Here is a 23,428-nt window from a genome sequence, read left to right on the forward strand (position 1 = left end):
AAAGAAAATGATAATTTCATGTTTTTGTATGTATCATAGATACAAAGCTGACATGACTAGAATGTTTTCTTAACTAAAAATTAATATATTTTGGTGGTTGAGGAGGGGGATCTCAATTTTTGCAATAGAGATTATCCTGGGTATACCAGGAAGGATTAAAATTTAAAACACAAAATAGAGATTTTTGTAAAGGTATGATTTACCTGTACTAGTCAACAGTTAGTGAAGCTAAAATTATTGAAGAGTTTTTAGGTTTTTTTATTTTTTTTTAATTCCAGAGTAAGAAAAGGCATCAAAGAAAAAAAAGTGGGGAGGTTCCCCAATATGTATAAAGTCAATGCCCGAAAGAAAGTAACTCATTGAGAATCAGCAATAAATTTGACTGATTTTAAGTTTGTCAGCTGGAGGGAATTATTATAAAGTCAATAAATAGAGCTATAGACAGCTGGCTTTGTATAATATCCTTTTCCTTTGCCTAAATGTTTAAACTATTGGTTCATTTGGGATTTTCTTTTTTAAGAGGAAGAGAGAGAGAGAGGGAGATCTCAAATTGAGCTATCCTCAACATACAAAGCAAATTCCAGAATCTTGAAGACTTTCATTGTCTCTGAAAGTCATTGTCACCACCCTAATCCCCTCATTAAAGCTAAAGAAATGCTGGGATGGCATTAAAATGAATGCAAACCATTTGCAGCAATCTCCTGCTCACACCACCTCCAAATGAAGGCAGGCACATTGCATAATCCAGGCAGCAAGAGCTCCTGACAGGTGGATGATTTATGCTCATAGTCAGAAGAATCGGAGGGCCTGCGGAGGAGACAGCATGAGCAAGGTGGTGGCGAGACAGATGCTCTCAGTGGGCTTGCAGGGGCTGGCAGGCTCCAACTAGTTCAGGTGCAACCTGGACACTTTCAGTGCTGAACTCCTATTGCCTAGATTCCAATACTCTGATGTGTCATTTGCAATATTATATGCAATGTACACAATGAATAAACTGTCAAATCCGAGCAAGCATTGTACATATGCTGCATATACCTCTTACATACATAGATATTATGTACACAATGCCCCAGCACATAAGTGAAAGGAAACCTCTTTTTGTCAAATGATGATTATGATACAGATGTAAATATTCTATACCTTCAGGATCCTCAGTTCTGAAAATATTTAGCCCAGGTATGGTGAGTGGAGAGTGACAAGATTTCCTAACAATTGGATCAATATTAAAGATTGCACAGTGGGATTAGGAGAAACACACCTCACCAGAAAACTGACATTCCTGTCAATTATTTTAATTATTTTTCAGATACATGACATGCTTTCATGACATTTTATTCTGAGAAAGCATTTGAATATTTCAGAAGAAAATTATTAAGAGATGGATAAAAGGAAGAATCCCTACAGAGTTGAACTGCTTTGAGATCAATCTTCAAAATAGTTTTCCAGAATTTCTCTCAATAGCTCTAAACAATAACAATTTGGTAAAGATTATGGTATTGGTTAAAAGGGTAGATAAACCTAATTACAGTTATTGATGACAAATTACTGCAACTCCAATCTCTAACAGAAGGTATTAGCCAGCATTTTACTGGTCAGCAGTAAACCACCAATGGACAAAGAAATTCACCTCATAGATCTACATAGAACTATACTGATCATTCCTTTTCCACGCTCAGCCCAGTATCTCTGAAGCATAATGCTTCAGGTATCAGTGACAGGGATAAGCTTCCAAATGTACAAGCTTCGGGTTATCTTGGATGAATGTGATTTTACTTTCAACTCTTAGATACTGTAGGGTCAAAGGTAGAATTGCCAATGAGAATTAAAGATCCCTTTAATTAGATAACAGTATTCAAAGACTTGTAAATTCCCAAGAAGCCACTTTGCAAAGCAAGAGTTACAGTGTTCTCCTGGGGGAAAAGATGGGCAGTGGGCTTTTATTTTTTTTTTTCTCAGCTATTCACCACTATGAGAGAATTTTTGAAAAGAACAAAATGGAATACATTGTAAGTAATTCAGAATGCCTCCAGACTTTACAATTCTCCCTAGAGAAAAAACTCAAACAATTTGAAGTCTTCACAAACTGCATCCAAATCCTTTTTCTAACTTCATTAAGCTCCAGTACTTAAAAATCGTTCATAGCAAGTACTTTAATTAGAGACGAGCCAGTGCAGAATAGCTGGACAGGCAGTGCGTCCACCCAGCGAGCAGACTGCCCAGGGGGGACAGTCTCCACCTCACTGATGCAACTGGTGAAGGGACAGACAGGGGCGTGGATACATTTCTTCCTTCCCCAAAACAAAATGGGAGGATGCGTGTGGGTTGGTGGGTTACAGAGAAAGATTCAAACATCATTCTGGCCTGATCAGTATTCTGGCAGTTTACCATTATACATACAGAAAAAGAACAGAAAGTGTGTTAAAGAATCCAAGTTTTAAGGGGAACAGAAAACAAAGTCATCTGCACTATGGAAGCCTATTTTTTTCTTTCTTTGTTTCCCCTCCTTTTTCTCTCTCCTCCCTCCTTTTTTCTTTGCTCTCTCTCTCTCTACTCTCTCTCTCTCCACCAAGCCTCCTTCCAAACCCCATATTTTGAGACTGAAACCATGAAACCATTGCCATGAGAACTGTAGTACAGGCACAAAACCAGCATCAAAGGATATAAGTGCCACACAGAATCCTGATATGCTGCCATTAATTTGATGTTCAGGGGTCAATACAAGGGTGGAAAGGTAGCAGGGGAAGGAGAAAGAGCAGAGAAGAGAGGGAAACAATTGCTATGCATGAACAATTTGTACTTGCTACTTCTCTGGCTAGAGTAATGCCTTTGAGGCAGAACTTGAGCAGGCAAGTAAAGAGCTCACAGGTTCTAAGCTACCCGCAGCTTTGAACCCAAGTTGTTTAGAGACTTAAAAACAACAACTATAGCAAATGGTTTTTAAGGGACAATATGGTTGTTAAATATTCTAGGTGGTGATAGAAGTGCTTTCTTCACCTATAATATACCTTTTTTGTCCTGAAATGCTAGAACTGAATGAACAGATTAGCATGTGCAAAAGTAACTGTAGATGCCTTCATAAATTACTCCTGAGAAAAAGTTAGCAATGTCCGGATGAGAAGTGATTCCATGGATTCAAGGTCATTTGTTTCTGGTCCATGACAGACTTTCTTGCTGTCTCCTCACAATCCACTGAGGGGTCTCTGTAATTCTGGCAGGTTTTGCTGACCCTGCCTGTCACCTTCAGCTCTCCTGCACACAGGAAAGGGTCTTGGGCCAGAGTCACACAGAGCATTATCGGGGACCTCTGACCCCAGCGAGACATGGACAGCGAGCAATGTGAAGACAACCTAAGCCTGCTGTGAACATAGCACTTGGTCATTTTGGAGGGAAAAAAATTCCAGCAAGATGACATTTGAGACCAAGCAGAACCAATTCATCTTTGGTGTAGCTATGCAAGGTCCTAAACATTCAAGCAACAAACTAATAGTGATGACAATAATAATGAATATTTACTGAGGACTTAATATTTGTCAGACACTGTGCTAAGCATTTTAAATACATTACCTTAATCCTCAGAGCAAACTCTGTAGGATAGGCCATTACTATTATCACTATTTTACAGACTAAGAAACTGAGGCTAGAGACATAAAGAATCTTGCCAGTAATTGGCGACTTAATAGCAACTCAGGGCTGTCTATTAGCAAATTCTATGATCTTACTAGTATGCTATGTGGAATAATGTGTTTACAATACAATTCCAAATGCATCCTCTTCATTTTTCAACTGTATTTAACCTGTAACTTTGTAAGATATTATACTACTTACTGAAATTTTGCAATGGGAGAAGAAATTAATGACCATAATTTTTTCCTCCATTTTTCTCAGGCTTGAGTTTCTTTAAAATACCCAGCCCTGAAGAAAAATAAAAGCCAAAATAAAGAAAAAGAATAAGGTATGCCTTAGCACTTCGTGTTAGATACTTTTTTTCAGTGATCTCTCTCATTGTGATCGAAAAGAGACAGTAGTAAAGGCCCTGCAACTAACCTCTGCTTCTCTGGCCCATTAGCTATTTTCTAATGTGCAAATCACTCTGGTCTCCCAGGACTGTTTAAGAGTTCAGCTGACTACAGCACTGTCTCCTTTTGGGTTTCCAGTTAAAATCAATGCATTAACTGAGGCTGCAAGTTAGATTCTAGAACTGCAAGTTAAGTAAGACAGGTGAGGAAGGGAAGAATTCCTAGCTTTACAAGCTTGGGAACTTTCAAAGAGGCCAGTTCCTGAGTGGCATTAAAATAGAAATAGCATTACTTGTAAAAGCTGGGGGATTTTGTTCTTTCCTACCTTAACAAAACTTTTGATAGATTTTCTCTGCTGGAGCACATAACCAAATAGTTAAAGATTTGTGAGATAAGCAGGAGATTCTCTAACATTTCTTAGGCACCCAGGGTTTGAATTGAATTTCTGTTCCTTTTACTTTGTCACCATTAGTGAAGCTTTATTTTTCTACACTATCCCCTCCAGATCCTAATTAATGACTGCTGGGGAGACCTGCAGACATATACAGAATCGTTGAGAAGTACATTTGTTCATGGACCACAAATTTGGACCAGTTATCTACAGAGCATGAAAGTGATGCTACAAACGGAAAATGAAATAATCAGACAGCAACCTGGACAGCCTCTCGGGGACAGACGCTGGGCAATGGCAGAACCTCTTCTGCTAAACAATAGGCTATGATAGTCTACACGGAAGGGGTGCCACTCAGAAATATACGTAGCTCAAATATTATTCAAACCATCTCTAGGATAAAGCAGAAATACTCTATACAGACATTTCAGCAATCACATTCTAGTCCTGCAAAGAGCAATATTTACAGAAATCAGAAAATGTTCTTGTTATTGCACAGCCCTCCTGTTTTAGAATGCCTACAGCAAGAAATGATGCTGGACTTTGTAAGAGCTCCAGCACGAAGACCATTCCCTAAAATAAAGGTCTCCTTGCTCACAAAGGAAGTAATAGCAGAGAACAGCAGCTTCCATGTGACTTAAAGGATATTTCACCTTTTGACACTCTGGTAAGATTAATTAAGAGAAGAACCAAAAGACATCATTATAAATATCAGTACAGCATATGAGCTTCAGAGTCAGAGAATTTCAGATTGAATCCTGGCTTTACCATTTAATAGATGTCTGATCTTGGGCAAGTTATTTATCAAGTTATTTAGAATAAGTCTTAGTTGTTATCTCATTTATATTCACTAACTTATCACATGTCTATGGAGAAGACAGATCAAAACCAACATTATTCCTCATGTTTTTTTTTTCTCCTTTTTTTGGATACCAATTGCTATATTGTCAGTGTAGTCAATATACTTTTAATAAAACAGGACTTCTGAAATACAATTCTGTCATGGTCATATGAATATAAAAGAACATTTATTTGTAATGCATATATGAAAGCTTTCTAAAAATCATTATTTATGAAAAATTATTCCTGCACCCAAATTACAAAAATGCAACTGAAAAGTATACTGAAGTATGATTTAAAAAGAAAAAAAAAGTCATATTTTATTGAGCACCTACTATGTGATCATTATTGTACTAGGTGCCATGAAAGACTAAAATACAAACAGTTCCTGTTCTCAAGTTGTTTATGCTTTGCTCCATGAGACATCCCAAGTGAAGAATGGAATACTAAAAATTAATAATACCTATTATTTTCCTAATGCTGTCATTTACCAGATGCTGTACCAAGAATATTACATATATTATCTCATTTAACCCTCAAAGCTATCCTCTGATGTATGTATAATTACAATCTCCATTTCATAGGTAAGGCTTAAAAAGGTAAAGTAACTTGTCTGAGATGGCACAGCTAGTAAGTAGTAAACCTGACAGTGAACTCTGAGTCTATCTCTGCACTATCCAATATGGTAGCCATCAGCCATGTGGGGGCTACTTAATTTAATTTAATAAAAATTAAACAAAATTAGAGACTGACTTCCTTAGTTGCATTAGACACATTTCAAGGGCTCAATCAATAGTCACAGACTCCATTTGACCCAGAGTCTATGCTCTTAATCTTTATGCTCTATTTCCCTCTGTGGAAAACATGAAATTAAATGCTAAACAGTATGAAACTGAATATAAACGCTGGTGAAATTCTGAAAAGGGTAACATCTCTGTAATTTTAAGTCTTTAGGCTTATGAAGGATCATAAACTCCACAAGGATAGAAACTCTTTTGTCCATGTTCACAAAGTGAATGGTATGGAGCCAGCTCTCAAAACACACTTGTTGAATGGATGAGTCAAGGATGAGTGAATAAAAGTTTGGAGATAGACTTACAATGTGTATTATTTGGACTGATAGCTAGAAAACAGCTCCTGGGCAGAATAACCTCACCCCAACTCTAGATGTTGTAAAGAACAGGATGTACTTCTGCCATAGCAGATAGAAATATTTACACAGATCAAACCATAAGGCATGAATCCACGTTCCTTCCAAATACTTCCAAATTACGTATGAATTGATAATAACCTAAGACTGGCTAAGGTCAGAGTAATTGCCATTTAATTGGCTTCAAATATACTAATGATTATGATAATGTTGATACTGAAGAACCTAATAGGCCTGGAGACAAATGTCTAAGAGAGCAGAGAGGTGAATTAATGGGAGGCAGGAGTAGGGAGGGGACCATTATAGAAGTCACAAGTTTGGAAATCACCAAATGGTAATTCAGTAGGGTTGTGAAGAAATTTGGCTTTTAGAGGAAACTATGAGAACAACAACAACAATCCCCCACCCGCTCCCAAAAAAGAACAAACTTAATGGGGTGGAGAGGGTGAAGGGAGAGAAAGTTGTATTTGCTCCAAAACTTCTGTGTGCAGAAGCCTGGTTGGGGGATATTAATTGGACAATCCAGGGAGAAGCCACTAAATAAGGGCTCAGGTGGCCTCAAGGAAAACACTTACAGCTGAGAACTGAGAGGGAGGCCAGGGAAAACGGACTTGACCTCCTATGGGGGCAACATGCTGGCTTGAACTGAGACACAAAACCAGAAATTGGTACAGAAACCAGGTCTAAGTAGAAACACATATTAAGTTAAACCAAGTAATGTAAATTACCTCATTTTTACACATTCTACTCCTTAAATTTCCCATATCCCCAAGACACATACAAACGCTAGTAAAATGGTGCAGACATAATAAAATTATGATTGTGCAGCCTATGTAGAAAAGATTTAATAGATGAAAATGTAATTCTTGAGAAAAATAGGAAAGGGATTTTGATCCTAGATACACATAATCTTTTGAGAAACAGGTTAACCAAAGGGCAATTGCTAAGATACCCTCCCTTTGGGTTTTGCCATAGGTCCCATTTCATCTCAGATAGTCATCTATAAAAGAAGAGTATCTTACAGTTGGGGCTTTTAAAATAGCAGAAGTCCTGACATTCCTGTCAAAGGGCTCTGTAATGTTTCCTGCTTCCAAAACCATTTCCATATCACTCTCTTCTAATGGCATGATTCATATTCATGTCAACTTGAAAAAGCACTGAAGCCAAAGTAAGGTAAAAACAAATTTATGTTGTGGATAATCAGCTGAAATCCATCACACCTGAGGGTCAGTTACTACTGTGCTGGGGCTGTGCAGTCTACTTGGGTAAGGCTGAGTGGCAGTGGCAGGTCCTGATATTTGTTCTAGTAGCCACAAAGCCGCACTGGCTCTCAAAAAGCACAATCTGCCATTCACTTAAGTCTGGTTTGCCAGCAAGCCCAAGGATGGACTCCCCACTAGTACCATCAGGCTCAGGGAATTTGGCTAGCACCGGGCACCTCAGACTTCTGCCAGCTAATTGGCTTTGGGGAAGCCGCTGACCTACTCTCCACTGAGTGGCTTTTGTGAACCTGGAACCTAGCCTGCTTCTCATCATTGATCAACCTTGGCCAAGCCAGCTGGCTTGTTCCTTTGCAGACAGCTTGCCTTAGGGAAGCTGGTTGGTGGCTCCTCAACCTACTAAGTGAGGGAGAGAGAGAGAGAGAGAGAGAGAGAGAGAAAGCGAGAGAGGACGAACTACAGAACAGTCTCTCAAAAAATGACCAGTGCTCAGTGTCAGTTACGGGGACTTAGAGATGAACAAAATCGTGCCTCATACCTGATATATTAGTAGGTGGAGTAGAAGTCTGCATAGCCTTAACCAGAAAGGTAACTGAGCATTTAGGAATGGGGCCCAAATGAAATACAACCATGAAGCACTTCATTAAATGAGTCTTATTCAAGTGTACACCTGAATTCCTTTAGTTACATTCAGGCACAATGTCATCATCATCAATGTCACATTGATATACGTATGCGTTGGTGACAAGGAACAAAAATCTGTTGTTTGAAGGCTGGTGGGGAAAAAATCCACATTAAACAGAGTCCTATATGGTTCTGGCCACCCCTCACCACTTACCAGGCTGGCCTTCTAGTGCCTGAGCAAATGTTCAAGCAGGTTTCCCCTGCTTGGGGCTAAATCCATCAGGGATTTTTTTAATCCAAAAAGAATAAAAATATGTAACATATTAGATAAATGCTGGCTTCCTAATTCAAGTTCACAAATGGAAATGACAAATGGGGACAATCAAATAAATGATTAACTTTTAATAGTATCCCTACTAAATCAGGGGGAAGAAAGCTAAAGGAACTGTTTCTTAGGATTTCAGCCTTTCTCTCTGTCCTCTCTAAGACAAATGCAGGGAGCACAGATTTATTCAGCTGAAATAATCTGTAGTGCTGCAACTGTTTAGTTCACATCAAAGATTCTATCTACTTCATTTCTAATGTAATTGTGATTTTAAAATATATACATAAATATAAAATTGTTTTGGAGAACCAGGTATGCAAGGAGTATGTGATAGTCTTCTATGAGCCACACGGATTACATGCAGAATCATGGACAAATCTTTAAAACATTAGAACTTCAATTTTCCCCTTTTATATAATAGATGAGATTATAATACTCCAGTGGTACACTATGGCCATATCCTCAAAACAACTGAGGCAGATGGTGCACAAAGTCAGTGGATCAGATTCATTCCTCTCTACAAAAGCACAACTTATAAGAAATGTGGTTCTGATAGTTCATTTTCTAAAAACTCAGCCAGAGACTAAAGCTATGCCACAAGGCAAAATTTTTCTTTATGTTCCAATTTGGATTTAAATAAGATGTCATACACTGACAAAAACACAGACCCCTAAATAGAGTTCCCAGGAATTGAACAGCTTCAGTACTACTGATGTTTATTCACATAGTTTGTAACTGTTAAGTTATTCCAAAGTTTATGTTGGGATGTCAGGACTTTGAGTGGGAAGTCACTGTAAAAGATAGTCTGGTCTAATCCTCACATGATACTTGAACTTGTTCCCTACAACATCTCTCACAGTGCTGGGAAACTTATTGCCTTCCAACATAGTTCATTCTATTTCTGGACATTAAGTGAAGAATTCAAAGCACTGAAGAGAGCCATAGTTCAAAAAATGGGGGATGGGTTACTTAAGTCATCTTTTAAGAGCTCAGTATCTCATAATACCCATAGCCTCTGAAGAATCCCAAGCCAAATACATACATGAATATTTCTGATGTTCCCAAAGAATAACTACATTAAATAAATGTACAGCAGAGGCAGTAGAATCAAAATACCCACTACAGAACCTAGACTCCTTCATACACTATGAGAACACTGGAAGGTAACAGAATCTCTCTAAGCTTCCCTTTGCTCTGTGAAATGGGGAAATAGCTACCACTGAGGTCATTATAAAGATTAACCAACCCCAACAAAAGCACACAGCACATAGCCTAAGGTATATTCAGCTCTCAAAAATCTGTGTTATTAGTCTTACCTTCAAAATCTTTACTATTCATTTTGAGACTGACTATTCAAGTTTCATATCAACAAAACGTGAAAAAAAATCACCATCTAGTAATGCAGTATCCGCACATAAAATAACTTTTTGTGGTACCTTAAGTACATTCCCAAATGGCTTAATGTCAAGACGAAGCTCACAGAGAAGGTGCTCTTCGCTATTGCTTATATTATAACTTGGGAGTTTTGTTTAATACTCTGCATTAATGAGGGAGCTTCTTAGGATAATATTACAACAGAGAGTGCAAGAAATACCTGTGAGGTCAACGCAGTTCTATTAACTGTCATCTAACACAGAAATATTTTCCTTGAATACCATTAAAGCTTTCTCCGTTTCTTTGTTCTGCTTTTTGAAGGCAGTAGGAGCCCAAATTTCCCTACCAATAATTTCTGTTTTTGACTTGGCAGCATAATGATACTAGACTTGAGGAAAAAAAATCACCTTGGCAATGTCTTCTTCAGAGGTTTTTACAGAAGATATTTTGTTAGGATAAATTATACTAAGTAGGCTCTTTAACTAAGCAAAAACAAATCCACTTGTAACTAAATGACCTGCGTAGCTTTATATTTTTTAAAGAGAACCTACCTGGAAAACACTACGCTCTTTAAATGAACATTTTGTTAAAATGGAAAATATGAAACAGAAGGGTAATTAGACAAGTAAGTTGCTCTTTGCTACTCCTGCTGATAGGGTAAACTCAGAAGACTCTCAGAGTTCCCACTGCCATATATAAATCAAGACTCAAGCTGTGGTTCCAGCAAAACAGCTCTGGGATAATTTTTCTTTATATCCTGGAGGCTCAGCCCAGCTGATTGGAGAGATGTAATGGCAGTTAAAAGAGTAAATGTATAATCTGTGCTCTCTCATATATGTGTGTATATGTAGACATGCACAAATTGTCTTCTCTAAAAAGGTGGAAACAGAAAATATACTCCATGGACTGTGTTGAGATCACTCAGAATAAACAGAACATCTGGACAACTAATTCCCTAATGTAAAAGAAGAGGATCTCCATACTCCTACCATTTCTTCCACCCAAGGATTTCCTAAACATTAGGTCAGCACTGTTAATCTATGAGTCAGAGAAAAAGATGAAGACCTTTAATTTCATAGAGACTGGCAATTCTGGATGGATTTAAAATAATTTGTCAAGCTAAAGGATTTAAGCTGGGCAAAAATGGCGTGACCCTTTTGAGATACAGTGTCCTCAACCTTACCATTTGACCTTCATGACTCCTGATGTACACTGCCTTCTCTAACTCACAATCAGTCCAATACTCTAGGCTGCTCAGTTATCCCATAAAGACTTTTCCTGGACCAATCACCATCATTATCTCTGACTTCAGCAGTCCCATCAAACTTTAGGTAAGAAGCCTGGTTCCCTCAGAACAGAATCCTAAGGAAAAGTCACCTCCTAAATTATGTCATTTATTTATATACCTTAAGCTCAAAACCCCTTGTTAGACTCATAAACTCTGCTGCTTATTGGGATTTCCAGGACTTTTTCCCATTTTGTCCACCCACCAAATAAGTAGTTCAGGTCACTCTTGGCCTACCAACAGATGCAGGCAATCAACCCAAGCATGGAGCAGGAAAGACCTCTTATTTGGCCAAGGCTGCCACACAGCTTGGCATAGATACAGGAAGGTCCTAGGCATATGACATACTTGGCTTTTAATCCCATTTCCACTTTATCTGCAGTGGGGCCGTGGGCAAGTCACTAAAACTCTCTGACCTTGGGTTCCTTATCTGACTAATGAGAATCTGATACCCAGGGTCCCAATTTTCTATACTGGGTGGGGTCTTAACATGATAATTAAATCTTAATACCATGTATTGTCTCACCACAAATGGTGACTTATTGCAAATGCCAATTCTCAACCTCTGCTTTTACTTCATCTGGAACATGGGCACTCACAATTCTACTATATTGTTTGCACTGCCTACCTGGAATCTTCATACTGTGTGTATTTTCTAGACTTCTACAAAGTGGAGAAAATATTCACACACAACACTGAGCATCTCTGTAATTAAAAGATACTTTATGTTTCTTTCTTTCTTTTTTTTTTTTTTTTTCTGAGACAGAATCTCACTCTGTCACCCAGGCTGGAGTGCAGTGGCACGATCTCCACTCATTGCAACTTCCTCTTCCCAAGCTCAAGCCATCCTCCCACCTCAGCCTCTGGAGTAGCTGAGACTACAGGTGTGTGCCACCACACCTTGTTAATTTTTTACTTTTTATTTTTTGGTAGAAATGAGGGTTTCATCACGTTGCCCAGGCTGGTCTCAAACTCCTGTACTCAAGCAACCCTCCCACCTTGGCCTCCCAAAGTGCTGGGATTACTGGCATGAGCCACTGCGCCTGGCTGAAAGATACTTTAAAGAGATCAAATCAAGTATGAAAATCAAAAATGGGTATCAATAAAACACATAACTATCTGATTTGTTTTGCTTGTTTTAATAACTTATTGTTTCCTCCATAGGAAATATTTAGAAGCCATTTAAAATTATATAAGCCTGCTCTTCTCCTTTCCTACTGCTGTCAATATTTTTATTTAAAAAGTAACAAACTTCAAATAAAATCTGACTGGTAGCAATCACAGCAATCTGTGTTGAGATTTCAGATGCCCACAGAAATAAAACCATACTGACTGCACTTCAATATATTGACAAGAGCTGGAAGGAAATGTGAGGAAATAAAAAGCAAAAGTTTTTCACACACAGGCAAAAATACACAATCAATACTTCAGTTCCTACTTATTTAAATACCTATTAATTGCTCTACTGTGCCTTCAACTCTCACGTCTGTTAACTTTGAAAAAAATAACATATTTCTTGCTCCCCTAGGAAGATGAAAAGCATTAGAAGAATTTTCAGTTAAGACAAAATTCACAAATAGAACATCTCATTATCCATAGCTATCAAACCAGAGCTCCTATGGTAGTTCCAGCTTCATTGATATAGTCATCATCATCATCATCATCATCATCATTGTAATTATAAGTCTCTTGGTGTCATATATTGGAATAATGTTTCTATAGGCATTATATCATTTTTAATAAAATATATATAATTTCAGATTTGAAGGGTTAAGAAAGAATATAGTCTAACTGGTCCCCTGAAGATACAGGAATGGAGACTCTTAGAGATGAATGGACTTGCTCCAAATCACATCACAGTATTAGGTAGACGAGAAATCAAAATTAAAAACTAAAGCGTAGGCCCAGGCACAGTGGTTCATGCCTGTAATCCTAGTCCTTTGGGAGGCCGAAACTGGAGGATCACTTGGGGCCAGGTGTTTGAGAACAGCCTGAGTAACATAGTGAGATGCCATTTCTAAGGAAAAAATTAAAATAAAAGTAGCATGGTGGCATGGGCCTGTAGTCCCAGCTACTCAGGAAGCTGAGACAAGAGAATCACTTGAGCTCCAGAGGTCAAGGCTGCAGTGAGCCAAGATCATGCCACTGCACTCTAGCCTAGGGGACAGAGCCAGACCCCTTCTCAAAAAAAAAAAAAAAAAAAAAAATGCCCACAAAAATTTACTTATGAAGTTAACAGGATTCTTACAATTCTCCTTGCTCATTTTAAAATGTGTGCCACTTGTCCATTTTCTTTGGTGGGACATTAGCTTTCTCCTCCCTCTCTGCTTTCTCTTCTTCCTCCTCTTCCTTTTCCTTTCAAGACAAAGGAGTAAGTTCTCCTTTCTGAAGCTAAACCAGTAATTTTAAAGCTTCCTTCACCTCGAATATTGTTAGTGAAAACCTCTGCTTGGGTTAAAGCCCCTTTTTTTCCTTTTTATACTGTTGTCTCTCTTCATTTGACCTAAGGTCAGATATTAAAGACTAAATTTCCTCATGAAATTTCTGAGCAAATTTTCACTTATTGATGTGCTTCTATAAAAAGTTTAGAAAGCACCCCTAAGGCCATTGACATTGCCAAAGGATAACAAATTACATGACCTTGGGTTGGTCTAGCAAGTCAAGCTCATAGTGTCTCCTGCTAAGCATGTACTAGACCCTGTATCTACATTAAATCTCTTGGTCTTCACAAAAACCTCACAAACTAAGTTCCACCTTCAGTCTCATAGTTATAAATAAATAGGCTAAAGCGAGTTAGTCTTAGAGAAGTTCTTTAACTTGCTCCAAGTCTCAGAGGTGGTAGAACCAGGGCTTGAATCTACAAGCCACCTGGCCCTGAAGCTTGACCCTTACTGTCTCTGGCCACAGTAGCTAATGTTGACCTCTTCCTTACACTAGGCCACATGGTATGCTAAGCTCTCAACCTGCAGTATCTCATTGGCTATTTATAACATGTTGTTTGCAAATACTATTATTGGTGCCATCATTTTACAGATGACAAAATAGGAGATTAGAAAAGTTAAGTAGCATTTTTTTAAGGCAAAGGAAAAAGCACACTTTTTTGGCATGAAATAACAAAACTGGTCCTCTAAGTTGCCTTGTTTCACCTACACTTTGGCATGCAGGCTGGCCTGGCTAAAGAATATAATGTGCGTGAATGTGAGTCTTTTGCTCACCTGCAAATGTAAAAGAAAAATATTTGAGTTGCCAAGGTGAAAGCCATCATGCCAATAAACATCAAGACACCCTTTAATCCTTTGATCAGTGAATTCTATACCTAAATGAAATGATTATTGCTTTCATAAAATGTCTCTGTTTGCTACTGACAGTGAGCAAACTGAGCTAGTATGTCCTGCAACAGCCTTTAAATAACCAAGGAGAGAGATCAAAATAAAAATAAATCTTGACCAGATTTATAGGTGCACCTTGATTAGTTCTTGTTATTTTCCTTCAAATAAGCAATACCTGAAAAAAATGAAAAGGGAATGTTGAGACCAGATATCATATAATAGATGGGCTTTCTCTGACATACAGTATGGTATAATGACAAAAAAATAATGCTGGCCCATCATTTGTGACACTTACCAGCTAAGTAGAGCAGAGAGAAAGACAAAGAGGATTTTTTCAGGATGCTGAATGGTGCCACCACTTGGATTTCAACAAATTATCATTTGTTTTACTGTACTTCTCAAAGTTTTGTTGTAGTGTAGCATTTTGTTGCTTTCTCTAAGACAACACATTTTCCTTTTCTTCAACTGATACAATTTTTTTTTGAAAAATTCTAACATTAAAATCAAATGTAGTGTATTCAAGTATAATTCCATTGCTTGCTAATGAGAAAGCATATCTTATAAGAATTTTAATTATGTACAATGTGATGAAACTGGAATTGTTTACCTACTAAACCATCACTTTCTCCTTCACACTCCCACCAACGCTCAGATATCTTCTCAAAGTGAGATGCCATAATTAATAGAAATGCCAGTCAATAAAGCTAACGATTATTATTTTTAAAACAGTGTAATTCTCATTTTTCTATCAACTACCCTTTTAATGAAAACCTCATTTCCTTCAGGCAACACTTTATCTACAATGGATTTGGCCAGTTGAATAAAAATACCTGTTAAAGGAGAGAAAGTTCCCATCGAAGCTGTTGAAATCTGATTTCATTTCAGATTCTAGAACTAATGTTGTTTTTTGTTTAAATAGATTTTGTCTGTCAATTTCCAGACCTGCTGTGCCATCAGCCTGTATGGACTGCTGTGGTCAACACGGGGGTTGTAGCAGCAAATTTTATTACAGACTGGAAATTGAATTGAACAGGTTTACATTTGAATAGATTTACTACATCATGTTCTCTGACATACTTCATGGGACTGAAATCCCTCTCCATCCATAAAGATACATTTCAGACAGTATCATTCTCTCCAGGCTTAGAAAGCAAGTCTTGAGCCAAGGAGATGGCCAAACATAATTGTGCATTTAGATGCAGGGTACAATGCAATATTTCACTGCATTTTTAAAGTATAATAGAAAAAGAATATTCCACATTTACTCATAACCATCCCATCCTTTCGATTTGGTGGTTGTGGGAGGTGGGGGGAGGTGGTTAAAAAACTGATATTTTGCCATCGAAGTGGGCATTAAGAAGTAAAGGAAAATAAATTATTATTTGAGTATATCAGCAACAGCAGCAATTCCCTAGAAAACAGATACTTGCTTGATAACAGCAACTGAAGAGGTGTGAATTATAGATAAGCACTGTCCCATTCACTTTCACCAACAATGTTTAATTAAACACAGTTCACACCTCTTCATTCACTCTTACCGCCCTTCAGGATTGTTCCTGCTAGAAATCACAATGGAAAAAATATTTAAGGAAAAATATCTTCTTTAAACCTGGAAAAGCAAATGGTATGTAAATCATAGCAGTAAATCAAGTTAATAAAAAATTATATATTCCTAAAATTGGAGAAGTGTCTCCATTAATTCAGTTTTTCAAAATAAAACCTAAATATAGATCAATACCACATCAATACAAGTGTTCATTGTTGTATTAATTTTAGAACTTTTTAAAAAATGGATTTGCTTTTGAAAAATAATGATTCCTCAACTTTCAAGGACTTGAAATCACTCTTAATTCCCTTTGAATGAGCATAAGTTTAGTTTGAGTCTCTACAACAAAACTAAGTGGCAACATAAATATAATTAAGGCCAGAAATTGACTGTCAATCACTGATCATTAACTTTCAGAAATATGTTTTGTTTGTTACTCTGCTATAGGGGTTAAGGCAATGGCTAAGATAAAGAGCTCCACTTCACAAACGTAAGCTACCACCATCATCCTAACTGAAAGAAAAACTCTGTCATGTGGGTTGGGTTGTTGTTGTCTTAATTATATGTTTTCCTTTATCAAAATTGTCCTTCTGGCAATTTCACATAAGTTTTCTTTAGCAAGAACCACCTTATCTGTCTTGTTCACTGTTGTATCACTGGAGCCTGGAATAGTGCCTGGAACATGGGAAGACCTTAGTACATATTCAGCAAAAGGATTACAAACGTAAAACATGTTAACTCTGAAAAATCCTAAAAGGGCCAAAGGCTATACCATAAAAAGTACCCCCATCCTCATTTTCATTCACCAATGTGACACTGTCACCAATCTTTAGGTATCCTTCCTTCCTTCCACTTCTCCATGTATACACATGTATATCCATCACTGTGTATGATGTCTGCCATCCATTCTCCTTTCCATCTCTCTCTATATACATATATATATACATATACACACACACACACTCTCATACATACACACACATACATATATAATGAATCATACTATTAATAAACTTGTTCTTATATATATATTTACTTAGTAATGTATCTTGGTCATCTTTTTATAAAACTTTATTATAACATTATACACTTCTTTGTGTATAGCTCTTTCTCAAGGGAAGAGCAAAGTTGAAGACTAGAAGAATTTGAGAGTGTCTTCTTTGTTCCTATTTGATAAGTGAAAGTCAGAGAAATACAATGTGAATTCCATATATCCAAACATAATCTGATCCACTCATCTTCCTATAATATTGTTCACAGTAAAAATCTTGAAAGAAGAACAAACCAGGAAAAATTATGACACCACGTGATGGCACACACTCATTGACACTCTGGTTCACTCTTGGTGAATTAATATGTGAGCCTATTTGGATTTAAAAGTTAAAAAATAGGGGATCTCCAGTAAGAACAAAATATAATAATAGGACAAGCCCCAGAAACAAAGCATAGTTCTATGATGCAACAGAAGTTACACATTTAAATATTTAATGAATCTAATTTTCTGTCAAACATTAATTACCATCTTTTCATTGTGTTACTTTATAAAACTGTGTTTATTTCAAACTCTGGTGAATTTTCTGAAGAAAGGGAAACAGAAAATTCTAAATGCAGCATGTAAAATTCACATTTACAAACACACACACAAGTATAGCAATGCATTAAAGAACAAAAACTGAATCACAGGCCTCACGAAGTAAAGAAAACTTTTTATCCATCTCCAAGCTAACATGTGAATTTCACTAGAAATGATGAAATATACAAATATTTCAGGACCTTTGACATGTGTGGAATAGTTGAGTGGCATCTAGAATCAATAGGTTCAGTTCCTGGCTCCACCAATTATAAACTGTGTGAGCTTAAGCAATTTGTTTAGCACAGAACACATGTCACTGTTGCTATTTTATGTTTGTTGTTGTTATCCCCAACTGAAAGCAAATAGAAAGCAATTTTAATATCATATTTTAAGTTCTTTGTAATAGAAAATAAAGTCTAAAAGATAAGGTTGGGAAAGAACAAAGAGTGCTTTAAACCCAAGATTAATTAAAAAAAAAAAATCTCTCTGCAAACCTAGTAATGAGAAGAAAACCAAAAATTCAATGACAGTAGCCTCTTGGTTTGTCTTCATCCTTTGCTTTCTGCAAATTGTAAAGAAGATAAAAGCACTACGGTCAAGCATACCTGGTGTGTTTCGCTGTACATCAGATCCTCCTACCTTGTCCCTTCCTGTCAATGTGAAGTGGTTAGCCATAAGTTATCAGAAAGTCCAGGTATAAAGGAGTATTCTGCCATCAGAGTCAGGGTACTTACTGTTACCTCATCTTTTTCTGGTTTCTCTAAAACTGGTGGAATTTTTTGCCTCCCATCCCCACAGCAAAATCAAAACCTCAGGGGCACTAGCAAAGAGCCTTACCTTCTTTCAGCATGCCCACTTTTAAACACTTCATGAAGCGGCAAGCCTGGCAGGATTTACGTCTGCGCTTTGTGATTTCACATTCATTCGTGGCAGGGCAGCTGTATTCTATATTGCCTAAAACACAAGTTTGAAGAAAAGTTGTCATATTTACAAGATCCAGGAAACATTAGCTTCCCAAAGGCAATGTCAACTCTATTATTCTTACTCTCCCACCCCAAAAAATGTCACATGAGACTCAAGAGAAATGTCATAAATATCATCAAGCTGGATGCTCTGCTATAATCACAAAAGATACATGGGGCAAGGAGAACAAACATGGTGAAATGCTTCAAAAGATGAAGTTTAAAATTAGCCTTCAAAACATTATGCTGAGTCCACCCATGCAAAGTAAGAGTCTTCCAGAGTCTTATGATCCAAAAGAAATTTCAAAATAGATTATGTTCATGAAAACACAAATATCAAAACCAGATTCTTGGATTGTCAATCCTGGATTTATTCTGATTCCTAATACTTTGGTGCATCAGGCTTATTGTCTTTCTGACACTGAACAGTATAAACTTCACTGTGGAAAATGATATGTAAACAAATATGGCATGTTATAGTAAGCTCCTAGAGGGTAGGGACAGAAATTACATAGTTGTTGCTTTAGCACTTACCAGAGCCTTACAACACAATTCTGTGCTTGGTAAATGCTTACTGATCATGGTGATGATAATGAAGATGATGGTCATCATCATTATCATCCTCATCATGATGTGTGTTACATAATTTGCATAATTAATTCCAAACACTGAAGTTCCCTGATGTTAGAACAAAGAATAAACTGCTATGAAATTATATATTTTTAAGATTAGACTTTGTATCATTTATGGTAGTACCTACATATTTAAAATGGCAACTAAGAAACCAGAAGAAGATCCAAACTAAATTTTTTTTTCAATTAGTACCAATGGCAGTGTGTGGGATGTGCTCTGGGGCTGCCTACAGCTTTGTAAAGAAGCTGCCTTTAAAATAAAGCTTTTCTCCCCAATCAGCTCTGTCACATAGTGCTTGAAGGTCTTTCGTTACTTCCTAACCCTTTCCCCTTGTGATTAAGTGCATTAGTATCTTAATGAAAATGCATTCTGTTTATTGCCCTCTTGGGAAGGGGGAGGTCATCACACCAAATGCATAAATTCTCATCAGAGACGGTCCGAGCATAATTGCAATTTTGCTGCTCCATGTTTGCAAAACTCAGGGTCCGTCCAAGTCCCCTGAAACATGCGCAGATTCTAGTAATTAGCATAGAGTCTGCCTGGGACCACAGCATTGATGAAATATTTCAGAGTTAATCACACTTTGTAAACACTGATTTATATTGACTACCTTTCTTCAGACTGACGTCTCCTCATTAAATATCACATTAGTGGATTGCAGGGTAGCACAAAGACTCAACTACTCAGCAACTGCTAATTCAACAAGAAGTAATACCTAACCACTTCTAACTACTGAAAACTGGTTAAGTATGCATGACTTGAAAAAAACACATTATAGTTTGAGATAGCCTATCAGAATTGCCTAAATTAGCATTCTAATTCAGGGCATTTATAATAATAAAAGCAACAACTTTTTAACAGGAGGTTAAATAATAAGAGTAATATTCATTGCATCAACAGAAGTATATACCATCACCTTCCTTGGAGATATTACTGATGCTATACTCTTAGAAAACCAAGGATAAGTCAAAGAAACCAGGGTGGCCGGGTCACAGCTAAGAATAAAAGGATTTATAATCTGAACTTTAGATGAACCACTCTTCACTGCAGAGTTTCTTCAACCATCTCTGAATATTTATTTTGCATCAAAAGAGTGTTGCTAGTAATTTTCTAAGGGTTAATTAGTATTCTACTACTAGATCCTTCCACCCTGTTCGGCTCCCCCTATACTTACTTAAAAAGAAACAGGCCTTTGCTGTCTTAGGAAGGACTGAACAGTGACTGCTTAAAAGGATCAGAAAGAAAGAAAAAAAAAAGTTTACCAAACAGCATTCTTTTCCTTTTTTCTGCCTGAAAAGTCAGTATGAAGTAACACTTTCATCACTTCCCTTATCAAGGCATGAGTGCTAGTCCTACGCACCTTTAACCCAGTGCTAAAAACTTCTACCAGGATGATCCACTGCCACAAACATAATCATCATTCTTTTAAAACCTGTTCCACTTCCTCTTTGAAAACTGTATCCCCATCCTTCACATCAACAAACTTCTGACAAGAATGCACATCAGGCATGTGTGAGCTCACACCTGGACTATGGCAGTTATCCCCTCCCTGGGCTTTTTGCCTCCGTCCTGACCCACTCTAATCCATGTGGCATACCGCTGTCATCTTCCTTTCCCTAGGACTGCTTTGATCACGTCATTATGCTGATTTTAAAAAATCAATAGAATTATTTGCCTTCCTGAATGAAATATAAACTATAAGGCTTACAAACAGGGTCTTCTCCCAGCCTTTCATTTACTTTTCCAGCAATATTGCTATTATTACCTGACATGAACTTTTTGAGGCAGCCAATTTGATTTATTCAGTTTTTGCTAAGTGTCCTTCAGACTTTCCTCTGAGAATTATCTATCTTTGCCACTTTTTCTTCTTAAAATTATTTCCAAGCCTCCTTGTTCAACTCCAACTCCATCCCAATCTTTCATGAAAACTTCTCTGACTATCCCAGCAGAAAACGATTTCTTGGTTTTCATATTTTTTCAGGTACTCTCATCATATCCAGACAGATAATATTTTGTTATACCTTTCATACACATATTACCCATTGGATGGTAAGACACTAGAGGACAATGGACATTTCTAATGCAGTATAAAAACCATCCAAGCCAGGTGCAGTGGTTCACGCCTGTAATTCCAACACTTTGGGAGGCCGAGGCAGGTGAATCACTTGAGGTCAGGAGTTCAAGACCAGCTTGGCTAACATGGCAAAACCCCATCTCTACCAAAAAAAAAAAAAGTAGAAAAATAAGCCAGGCATAGTGGTGTGAACCTTTAGTCCCAGCCTCTTGGAAGGTCGAGGTGGGAGAATTGCTTGAACCCAGAAGGCGGAGGTTTCAGTGAGCCAAGATCATGCCACTGCACTCCAGCCTGGGCAACAGAGCAAGACTTCATCCCCACCCTCCAAAAAAAAAAAATCCACCAAAAAGTAATATATAAGTAAAAGAATATACTTATAATAACTTAGAATTTTCTTATCTCAGGGTCATTATTATGAATATCAATTATGGTGTTATAATGCAGTGTCACAGGATCAAGTGAGCTGCATGTCCCATTAGGAAGCAATGTTAAGAACAGTAGGAAAATCATTCCACAAATAACTTTAAAAATAGAAGAAAAAGCCAGGTGCGATGGCTCACACCTGTAATCCAGCACTTTGGGAGGCCAAGGAGGGTGGATCACTCACTTGAGGTCAGAAGCTCAAGACGAGCCTGATCAACATGGTGAAACCCCATCTCTACTAAAAATACAAAATTAGCCAGGTGTGGTGGTGCATGCCTGTAATCCCAGCTGCGTGGGAGGCTGAGGCAGGAGAATTGCTTGAACCCAGGAGAAGGAGGCTGCAGTGAGCTGAGATCGTGCCATTGCACTCCAGCCTGGGCAATAAGAGCGAAACTCTGTTTCAAAAAAAAAAAAAAAAAATCTAGTTAATTTTTTGAAATCGTCAACAGTAGCTTTGACAAAAATGGAAAAAAAGTGTGGCAAAAGGGGAAAGATTATGAAAAAAATACAAAAGCTTCTGAGGAGTAAAGTGTGAATAAAAGAGGAAATCATAAAGGAAATTATATGTACAGGAAATAAAAATCCATACTGATATGAATAGGATAAGAATAAAAGGAAAACAAAATAATACAGATAGATGGTGCTAAATGAGTTACATAATTTTTATCTTACTTTATAATTGGAGCTACATTGGAGAAAATATTTAGGATTGATTCAATAATAGTAGCTAAATCTATGAATGACTCATCTAGGAATAATTACGTAAAGATTTTAAATCTCTTCAAAAGGCAGAAGGGAATCTGTCAAATAATGATATGAGAGTTTTAGATCACATTTAAAGGACTCTGGTCTCCTTTCTATCCATTACATTCTGTAATTCTTCAATGATAAGGAGAAATGTAAAAGCAGGGGAGGTTTTCCTAGTGTGTTAGAATGAAGTCTTAAAGTAGAACCTCTGTGTTATTCCTTGTTGAATCCTCAGTGCTAATCAATGAGCCAGGAGTTTTGTATTACGGCTGGTTTGGATTAGAGAGAGGTAGTTCCTGATATTAAAGAGTCCACTGAGAGGAGACAAGACGTGTAAATAAACAATACATTTTAGTGGGTGGTGTCATGGTTCAGGATGCAGTACTGGCGTACTGGCAAGTACATACATTCCCACAAACACAGGAATTATGCTTAGGAAGATCAGCAAATTCTCCAAATAGGGGCAAATGCTTGAACTATGACATGAAAAGTAAAGAAATGACTACACTGGGGTAAAGGACTCTTCCCAGAGCGACAGCAAATACAACATATGTATAAAAATTTCACCATGAATGGATGGAAATCAGTGGTCCTAGCATCTTCACAAATGATATAGTTTCAGCTGAAGTGTATAGAAATTGTTTCTGATAAACGGGGTCTCTTTCACAAATATTTTCTTTCAATAAAGTTGCCTTGACACATACGGATAATAACCTTGATTTCACTAAGTGACTCTGGTTTATATCTTGAAAAACAAGTCAACATCATTCTAAATAACTTATTTGCTTTATTTGCTGGAGGAAAACCTCTCTAATTTCCAGGCCCTCCCATTGAGTTACTTAGTTCATTGTTGTTGGCTATGATCACCCACCCAACAAAGTCTTTGATCCATGTTAGAGTCTACAGAGATTGTGCC

The 23,428-nt window shown here is 37.4% G+C and overlaps 1 protein-coding gene across 56 annotated transcripts in view; it reads right to left on the reverse strand.

Annotated features, from left to right (window-relative positions):
• Positions 1-23,428, reverse strand: part of ESRRG (estrogen related receptor gamma) — a 634,457-nt gene that overhangs the window by 129,217 nt on the left and 481,812 nt on the right. For 54 of the 56 annotated variants that reach the window (XM_017000625.2, XM_047449371.1, XM_017000622.2 and 51 more), the window contains one exon: positions 18,511-18,627. The exons of the other annotated variants lie outside the window; for them this stretch is intronic. In XM_017000625.2, the coding sequence (XP_016856114.1) occupies positions 18,511-18,627 (117 nt within the window). The remainder of the gene's footprint in view (positions 1-18,510; positions 18,628-23,428) is intronic. 56 annotated transcript variants of the gene reach the window in all.

Source organism: Homo sapiens, chromosome 1 (assembly GCF_000001405.40).
Source record: "Homo sapiens chromosome 1, GRCh38.p14 Primary Assembly".
Lineage (NCBI taxonomy): Eukaryota > Metazoa > Chordata > Mammalia > Primates > Hominidae > Homo > Homo sapiens.